The sequence below is a fragment of the Homo sapiens genome, chromosome 10 (assembly GCF_000001405.40).
Source record: "Homo sapiens chromosome 10, GRCh38.p14 Primary Assembly".
NCBI lineage: Eukaryota > Metazoa > Chordata > Mammalia > Primates > Hominidae > Homo > Homo sapiens.
In genome coordinates, this window is record NC_000010.11 from 123,636,807 (window position 1) to 123,646,402 (window position 9,596).

The following is a 9,596-nucleotide window of genomic DNA, read 5'->3' on the forward strand; positions in this document are numbered from 1 at the left end:
AGGAGGAAGCAGCACAAAGGAGGGTGATCAGGACACTGTCACACACACCCAGACTTGTGATGATGAAGTTCTGAACCAGGGCAGTGACGCTAGGCTGGCCAAAAAGTGTTCTGGTCAGCTATGGCCAAGAGGCCGCACTGAAGGGTGAGACTCAGCTCTCCGACTCCCTTGGCCTCTTCAACTACAGACTTAGGCTGGGTCAGCTTGACCTCAAACTACATTAACTTAAAGGATCAAAATTGCAACCATTTACTTAGATAGATAAGCAGCTTTGGAAGCGCAGAAGCTTGAACTGTGGGTTGACTTTGCAGCAGATTGGCCCCATAATGGGTGACTAATTGAGCAGGTTACTCATCGCTGGAAGTGTTTGAGAACAAATGACAACCAGCAATTTGATGAATACTTGAGAGTTTTCTTCACAGCGTGACACTGACTGGATGAATTCTAAAACTTCACTACTGTCCAATAGTCTATGACTCTAATGTCCAGATAGATGGTCAAAAGAAAACCCTGTCTTTAAAGGGCTCATGCTCCAAAGACTAACTTATAGCTATAAGGCAGAGTTGGGTTTCTAAATCCAGTTTGGTCTGTGTGCTATGACTGCACATGAAAAGATTCCAAGTGAAAACCAGTGCTACTGGTGACTCATCTTACTGAAGTATCTTTCTAAGCTACAGGAACTCAAGGATGTGACCCACAATGACTCCCCAGAAGGAGACGCTGGGAAGCGGGGAGAATCTGCTGAGGTCCCCGCCAGTTCTCTCTGTGTCACTTTTGACAGACTCTTGCCTCTGTTTGCATCCTCTATGTGTCATCCTTTTCTAAAATGAGGAAGGAAGTCCCAGTGGGGCCCCAGGAGTCTGGAACGTCACCAGTCCCATGTAGGTCAGGGCTGCTCTCTTGGATAAACTGGGAGATGCCTCCCTCTACACATATGGAAGAGGCTGTGCATCACTGGAGTAGAAAACCACCTAGACACGAGTAGCAAGATCTCTCCATGCTGGAGGCAAGGTTGGCTTGCCTTGGGTTCCACATTTTCTGGCCCCCGCAATATGACTAAGGATAGAGCAGAAATGTTATGATTTATTCAGGCCACCCTTCTTGTCTTTCGTTCTTTCCTTCCTGGGGCCCCTGCTCACATCAAACTGGGCCTCTTGCTGCCCTCCTACACCCCCAGCATCTCCCAGCCGTCAACACTTGACTCCCTTGGCATTGCAATTTCTCATTTACTAATTCAATAAGTTCTCCATTCAATAATCTACATACTTGGAGTGCATCCCTTTCCCCTAACACACCCAGAACTTCTTACTGTGTCCTTCCTCACACTGAGCCCTCATTCCTGTCCCCATTTCATACTGTTGAGTTCTTGCCCCTCCTTCAAGGCCTGCTGAAATGCCACCTCTTCCATAAAGTCTTTGCTTAATCCACAGTTGAAATAGAAGTTCGTTTTGGGCCCTTATAACATGTTGTAGCTATAATGATGTGATGATCCCTCTCTGCCCATATTACAGTGACTTAGGTAAATGTCCCTTATCAACACCACAAGCTCCTTAAGATCATGAACTGCACCTTATCCTAACTGGTGTCTCTAGCTCCAGACATGGTGCCAAGTATATAGAAGGTGCTCCAATAAGGATTTTGGAAATATGGATCATGATTCCTAAAATCCCCACCATGTAGTCATGCCTCAGATCCCTTAGGAGACTGGAACTTTCTATTCAGGACAAGTATTACCTGTGGACAGCTCTCTCCAAAGCTACAATGAACTTATCAATATGATCATGAACAGACTGAATTATTTATATACAAGCATGGACTTAAAAGTTTCTTTAAAAATACTATCCAAATGCATCATATCCTTTCAGTTTATGAAAAATTTATTTTTCTTTTTATGCCATGAAAAATCCATTTAAAAACAACACATATTCAAATGAAATAAATAGAGCAGAAAGGTCTCTGTGAACACCTTTGGGCTGGTACTAGCTCTGTGTAAACTTCAACCCACATGTTCTGGGCCTTATGTCTCTAAACACAAAAACAAACAGCCTAATGAAAATGGAGACCATCTGTCAATTGTCTGCATGCAGAGAATTTGCCCAAGTATTTGAAAATGTAATTGGCTAAATTTTTACAGGTCTAATTAAGTGTTTTCCATCCCAATGCAATGGCAATATCGGACACAAATCAAACATTTGAGGCAGACAAACGGTGCCCAAAGTCAGTATTTAAGTATTTTTCCCTGGCATTAAAAGTTGATAACAACTGAAAATCGGCAGTGGGGAGGGGAAGAAGCATTTGTCTATATCAGGCAAAGAATAGAATCAGGCAGTTCAGTTGGCCACAGAAAAATGGAAGAGGAAGGATGTTTGAAATAGCTTCCTTATCATCTTTGCCTACAAGTCAGAAGTCTTCTCCCCTGCTTTATTTTGCATATTCGCAGGCCCAAAGCCTGGATGCCTCCCCCAGGGTGTACAAGGAGCACCCACATGGGAACCTACCAGGGACCCAGCCTGGTGCTCTGATGCATCCTCAGCTCCCTGGCATTGCAGCCTTCGTCTTGCTGTCTAAGAAGCCTGTGTTAGGATGCTGTTACCAGCCGGGGCAGAGGCCAGTGTCCTTGCAGGAGACTTTGTCACCATGATTTGAGCCTTCTGTGGGGCTTCACATGTCAGTCAAGAGGGAGAGAGTGACATTTTTAGAATCCAAGGCAATCCCTCCCTCATTTCTCCTGACAGGTTCCTCTTAGAAGGGAATGCCAAGTTCCCATCCCTTTAGAAGAGATTGGGTCCACGCAAAACTCAGGGATCAAGTTGTTGGATTTTTTACCCCGAATGAGAGAAGTTTCAGCTGCTTTAATGGCCAGTTTCTACAAACTTACTTGGGTTCACCATCCATCCACCCTCTTCCACCTTCTGATGCCAGGGACACATGATGGGCCAGCATTGACTATGATAAGAAGGTTTTTCTCTGGATTTCCCTATCTCTAGTCTGACATCAGGCTCTGACACTGATGCTCCTGGATCAGATGCCTTCTAAAGCTGTAGAAATGGAAGGCTGTGGAAAGCTCTCTTGGGGAACGTAGAATGCAACAGCCATTGAAGAGGCTGGGTGTGGCAGACCAAAGCTTCTGAAGAAAAGGAAGAAGCGATGCCATTGGGATCCACTAGCAGGCCTTCCATCTAAAGAGAGAAACGAGAGCTGTGTGGAGACTTCTCTCAGCCTGTGTGTCTGCTGTGCTTATGCAGACTGGGACAAAGTGGACCCAAGCTATGGAATGGGTGATGCTGAAAAGACCCCCTGACCTCAGACCTTATTGGAAAATCAGCTCTTCTCTAAAAGGAGCAGGAGGCAGAGACTGCAACAAACTCTGCTCGGGGTCAGGGCTGACAGGCCTTTGTGATGGATTCCAGTCTCTGTGACTCACTCATTGTAAATTTGCAAGTAGCTTCAATGGTCAAATAGACAGCATTGCTGTTTGGGAGCAGCAGGACAAAGAGGCAAGCCTGGGCTTTTGAGTCATTTTATCGAAAAAGGAATCCCTGTTGCGACCTTCACCTGTGGAGTGACCTTGGGCAGAGATTTCCCCTCTCCCAGTCTTAGTTTCCTCATCAGCAAAATGAGATGCTAATAACCATCTTGCAGAGTTGTGAAAAGGATGAAATGCAAAGTACATGGAATCTAGGAAGAGCTTACTTAAGGTTAGATTTTATTCCTTCTTGGCAGAATCTGGGTCAGAACTGGGACCAGCTCCATGAAGGGTGCAACACTGGGTTTTTTTTCTAAAAGTGCTGTGGACATAGGGACAGCCCAAGCCAATACAATCTGGGAGTGAGGACAGCTGCCAAATGAGGGAAGAGCGGCTTCAGAGGGCTCAGGGTCATGGGCTGAAATCAGGGCACACAAATTTGTAGGCAAAGATGATAAGGAAGCTATTTCCAACATCTTCCCTATTCCATTTTTCTGTGGCCGACTGAACTGCTTGATTCTATTCTTTGCTGATGCAGACACACGCTTTCTTCCCCCCTGGTTTTCCATTCTTGTGTATTTTTAATGCCAGGGAGAAACATTGACTTTGTGCACTGTTTGGCCTCCTCAGATGTCTGACTTGTGCCCGTTATCATTGCACTTGGGCCAGAAAACCTTTGGTTAGCCCTGTTATTTCGTGAGCACTTTTTATGTGTTAGCTCAGGTAATGCAATGGCGAATAAGGCAGACGCTGTGTAGCCTCATGGAATTTACAGACTAAGGCAGTCTTTGAAAAATAAAAGGTTACCTCTTAAAGGAAAGTGTTGATTTAAGTTATTCTTATTATAATATTATTTAAATATATTCAAATCTAAAACTGTATATCAATTCCCTAATTTTGTAGGTAGCTTCTACAGAACTATAGAAGTAAAGCACATTTATAAAAAATAATTAAAACTATAAAGCAATAACGTTCAAATTATTACATTACTGGCATGACAGATGATGCAGTTTTGCTGAAACTAAATGTCAAATTTGGGATTCAAAAGTAGAAAGATATTGCCCCATGTCTAGTTCTACATTTAATCTAATTTTGACTTCAATACAACACATGCACACACAGAATGCAAGAAAATATTTGCAAATCGTATCTGATAACGGACTTGTATCTAGAATATATAATGAACTCTTACAGCTCACAAAGAAAAAGTTAAATAACACAATTTTTTAAATGGGAAAATAATTTGCATAGACATTTCTCCAAAGAAGCTATGCAAGTGGCCAAAAAGCACACAAAAAGATGTTCAACATCATTACTCATCAAACACAAATCAAAACCACAATGAGATATCATTCTGAACCCACAGAATGGATATAATCCAAAAGTCAGATAACAAGTGTTGGCAAAAAATATGGAGACTTAGAACCATTATACATTCATGGTAGGAATTTTAAATGGTGTGGTCATTTTGGAAAATAGTTTGGCAGTTTCTGAATGTGTTAAACATCGCATCACCGTATGATCCAAAAATCCTACTCCTAGATATATAACCAATATAACTGAAAGCCCACATATATTCACACAAAAACTTGTACATAAATGTCCATAGTAGCAGTAGCCATAGTAGTGAAAACATAGAAATGTCCTCAGCTGATGAACGAATAAACCAAATATAATGTATTCATACAATGGAATATTACTTGGCAATAAAAAGGAAGGAAATACTGATGCATGATCCAAGGAATCATGAATGAACCTGTGTGTGTGCATACGTGTGGTTGCCATGCACATATATGTGCACAATTGTCAGAGAGAAATCTCAGGCCTGAACTGAGAAATACAAATTGAAAGGCTACAGAACCAGGGTTTGGGCAGAAGGCAATAAAAACGAGCCACGCAGGAGCAAACGGGTGGGTGTGCTGGTGGCGAGGTGGGTAGGGGTTGGTACAGGGTCCGGGACAATAAATTAAGCATTTGGGCCACAATGGGCCAAGGTGAGGCACCACAGGTGGGAGGGGGCCAGAAACTGTATTTGAAGAGGAGAATTTGAATGATAAAATGTCACCAATCTCTTCTGCTCCTTTAATAGACCCTGGAGGCAGCTCCTGGCCTTTTTGCTATCCTGCACAAGGATTTGCAGCCATTTTCAGGTAAAAAGAAGAAACCACAGATGCAAAGAGGCTTCGGAAGCTGCCAGCAGTGAGCTGTTCCAGAGAGCAGCCAGAGGGGGCTGGCCTGCAGCCAAGGCCTGGCGCCCGCGGTGTCTCCACATCTTCTTTTGTTACTGGGGATGGAAAGGAGAGAAACTGACTCAATTAATGGAACCTAGAGCCACTAGTGAACAATGTGGATAAATAAGGACTGAGATGTCAGTCCCTTTCCTAAGCAGCCTCAATGATGGGGAGGTGCTGGTGAGTTTTCCATGCTGTGTAGCCACATTAGAATCCACAGACTCCTCTTAGCCCCGTGCCTTCCAGGGTGAACACACTCTTTGCGAAGCGCAAATTCTCCTTGTACAGGGACCCAGGAAGCAAATCCTCTTTTGAATCGAGCACACATAAGGGCCTACGTTTTGCTTCCAGAAGGTGGTGCTAACTGCAGATGCTGAGCAATGGGAAGTTCAAAGGTGAGTTTTCATTAGGACTGGGCGAGTGGAGAGCAGCCGCAGTGAGGAGAGCTTCCTATCCCAGCAAATCAGTTTCCTCTGCCCCAGTACCTGGCTCAGGACCTGGCCCACAGTGGGAGGCAGCACCCATGGGCTGGCATGCCTGAGTGATGGGGAGACTTGGAGGACCCTGGCGTGGACAAGTGCCCAGAATCCTGGTGTCCAGGCACTGCCGCCCATAAACCTGAAAACAGGGGTTAGGCACTTGCCACAGACTCCTGGAAAGGAGAGGTCCTTCACTGCCACCCTGGTGTCACATTCTGCACCTTACCAACTGCATGATCTTGGGCAAGTTACGGAACCTTGTTTTTCATCCATAAAAAGGAGCTTACAATACCTAACAATGACTGTGACAATAAATAAGGAGATGCTGAGTGGCAGCAAATGGCCACTCCCTTCCCCATCCTCACCGCCCCCCCCCCGCCCCTAGTCTGTGGCTTCCTCCCTGTTCTTCCGCTCACGATGGAGTGGTGGTTCCACTCTGTAGCATGGTAGTAGGAATCCCTTACTTGAGCATCTGCATATCCAGCACCTTATCGGGTCCTCCCCCAAGGTGAGGGCATGTGGCTCATTATTTCTGTGCAGCTAATGAGCCAAAGGAGACTTGGGAACTTAGACCACCTGGCACAGGTTCACTGGCTCTAAGTCGGGTGTCTGTGTCCCCCGCTGCCCCCTGGCGAAAGCGGCTGGTGGAGCCACTGTAGCCTGGAGCTCGCACCCCTCCATCAGCCCTGCAGCCCCTGCCTCAGGGCTGACAGCCCACCACCCACCACTCACTCTCCCGCCTCCCAGCCTCAGGTATCAAGTGTCTTTCACAGAGGTGACATCAGTGTCTCTTGTAAAAGAAGTAAGGGATGTGTAAGAGCTGGACATGAAAGGTTACTCTTTGGCCCCAACCCCTTCCATGCCTCCCCGACCCAAACTCCCTCCATGAAGGTTCTGGAACATCCTTCCAGCCCTTTTCTAAGCATTTACATACATATTCATGTGAATATATTTTAAAATGAATGTTGCCATACAATATATATCGTACTGAATCTGATCTCAACAGTATGCCTGAAGGAGCCTTCTCAATCAGCTGCCTCATTTTTCAAGGATTTTCAGTGCTCTATTGTTGGCTGATCTCTTTTTGTCCAGGTCCTTAATGATGGATTTCAGGTTGCAGTAATGTCACAATGACCATCCCTAGACACGTATTTTTGTGCGCATGTGTAGAATTCTGCATTACACTCATATTACAGGTGAAGAAAGTAAGGTAAGACAAGGTGAAGGGATTTGCCAAAGGTCACCTACTACCCCATGTGGGACCACAGACTGGGTGTCCAGAATCCCCCATCCATGCTCTGTTCTCCAGAGCACAAAGAAGGGAATTCTAGGATTACCACGGAGGAGTGATTCTCATCCTCATGTGGAATTCTGCACACCCGCCCTTCCTCCCACAGTCGTCCCATACATGCAACTCTGCCTATGCCTTTCTCTGTTTAAAACGGCCTGGGGGGCCAGGGGCGGTGGCTCACGCCTGTAATCCGAGCACTTTGGGAGGCCGAGGCAGGCAGATCACGAGGTCAGGAGATCAAGACCATCCTGGCTAACACGATGAAACCCTGTCTCTACTGAAAATACAAAAAATTAGCCAGGTGTGGTGGTAGGCGCCTGTAGTCCCAGCCACTCGGGAGGCTGAGGCAGGAGAGTGGCATGAACCCGGGAGGTGGAGCTTGTGGTGAGCAGAGATCGTGCTACTGCACTCCAGCCTGGGCAACAAAGCGAGACTCTGTCTCCAAAAAAAACGGCCTGGGGTTCCCACTGTCTTCAGCGTGGAGCTGCACCTGGAAGCCTATGGGCCCCCCTGCCCCTGCCATGTGCTTCCTGAACTCCTAATCCACTGGGAAGGAGCCAGCCATGCCACATGCTTCCCCAGAGCGCTCTTCCCGTGCTCTGCACAGCATTGTTCATGAACATCCTTTTCTGTGCCACTGCCCCCTGGGCCAACTCCCACTCAGCTCTCAGGTCCCCACTGACCCATCACTCTACCTAGGAAACCCTCCTTAGGCCCTCTTCTCAGACCTTCCATCCTAGACTGTGATTCCCTGCTTACCTGCTCTCCTCAAGCCAGGTTGTGAGCTCTGTGGGAGTAAGGAGCCTTCTCTGTGTAGAAGGGAGTAGTAAGCCTTCTCCGTGTAGAAGGCTGTGTCGGCCATCTACCAGCACATCCCCAGTGCTATCAGCCTGATAATGAGTGTGGATGTGGGGAATGAATGAACACATGCATGCACACCAGAGACACACTCTGCTCCACGTTTGGTGCCCCTGGGACGCTGGAGATATGCCAGTAACTCGAGAACACTGACACTTAAATGCAAGACCACCCCCTGTATCCCAGGACAGTCCTGGATGCCCAGAATTAGGCCACTTCGGTTGATTTTATTTCTACTGTTGATGTAGCCATGTCTGAGTTTCCCTCAATGGAGGGGGAAGAGAGAAAAGAAGGAGGCCAAGGAGGAGGATCAGAGATGCCCTGAGGGGTCACAGGTGAGGATGTCTTCAGACACTGGCATCTCAGTGGCTGTGAATGTCACATTTTTTGTGAACAGCTTGTGTTTGGGGACCATGAAGTATGAAATACTCATGATGGGCAGGGTGGTGGTGGTGATGATGGCACCTGGGACTCAGCAGGGTGGGGAAGGGACAGGGCAAGGAAATGAGACGACACTGTGGTTACACGGTGAGCATCTCCCTTTAGCCTCCATTCCAAAAGGACCAGCTCCCAGGAGCATATCCACCCAACACGACCTGGGAGAGCTCACCTTCCGGCTCATCTACCTGGTGCTGGCTGCTCTGATGAACGTGAGCACAGACAGAACCATTCCGGGGCCTCCTGCTCAGGTGTGTGATGTCTCAGCACCCCCCACACATATGTTTCTCTGTTATTCCTGTAGTCACGCCTTCCTGCGATGTAGTTATTATTATTCCCATGGTACAACTGAACAACGAAAACTGGAATCTGGAGAGATGGGCAGTGCACCTACAGGTTCAGGAGCCCCAGCATGGCTGCTCTGACTCCAGGGTTCGGACCCTGCTTGCAAGGCATTGCTGCTGGCTCTTTGGGGTACACAGACTGTGTAGTCAGAGCCACAAATGAGACCTGTGTTTCTCTCTCCCTCTCTTCCTATCCAGCCTTCTCGCTTCTTTTCTGCTGCATTCTATGCCAAGCCTCTCCTTCAGAACAGACCCCATGAGTAATTGTTCCTAGGAACACACAGTCCCCCGGGAAGAGACCCCTGCTGCCTTGTGGATGGGTCTGTGCAGCTAAAGCAGATTGAACACTTGGGGACTGGAATAGTTTTTATTTTGAGGCAGGTGGCTGAGGCAGAGTAATCCCTAAAATTAGAGAAATGTGTAAAATATATGCTTCAGATTTTCTTTGAAGGAAGATTATTTGCCAGAGACTGGTATACCTCTCAGGCC

General features: G+C 46.8%; 2 annotated features.

The window, feature by feature from the left end:
* Nucleotides 2,761-3,304: an enhancer, noted in NCBI's record as "OCT4-NANOG-H3K27ac-H3K4me1 hESC enhancer chr10:125399083-125399626 (GRCh37/hg19 assembly coordinates)". NCBI's record gives its function as "activates a minimal SCP1, AML or CMV promoter by ChIP-STARR-seq in naive H9 embryonic stem cells {active_cell/tissue: H9 hESC(naive)}" and the evidence as "EXISTENCE:reporter gene assay evidence [ECO:0000049][PMID:30033119]".
* Nucleotides 3,305-3,848: an enhancer, noted in NCBI's record as "OCT4-NANOG-H3K27ac-H3K4me1 hESC enhancer chr10:125399627-125400170 (GRCh37/hg19 assembly coordinates)". NCBI's record gives its function as "activates a minimal SCP1, AML or CMV promoter by ChIP-STARR-seq in naive and primed H9 embryonic stem cells {active_cell/tissue: H9 hESC(naive and primed)}" and the evidence as "EXISTENCE:reporter gene assay evidence [ECO:0000049][PMID:30033119]".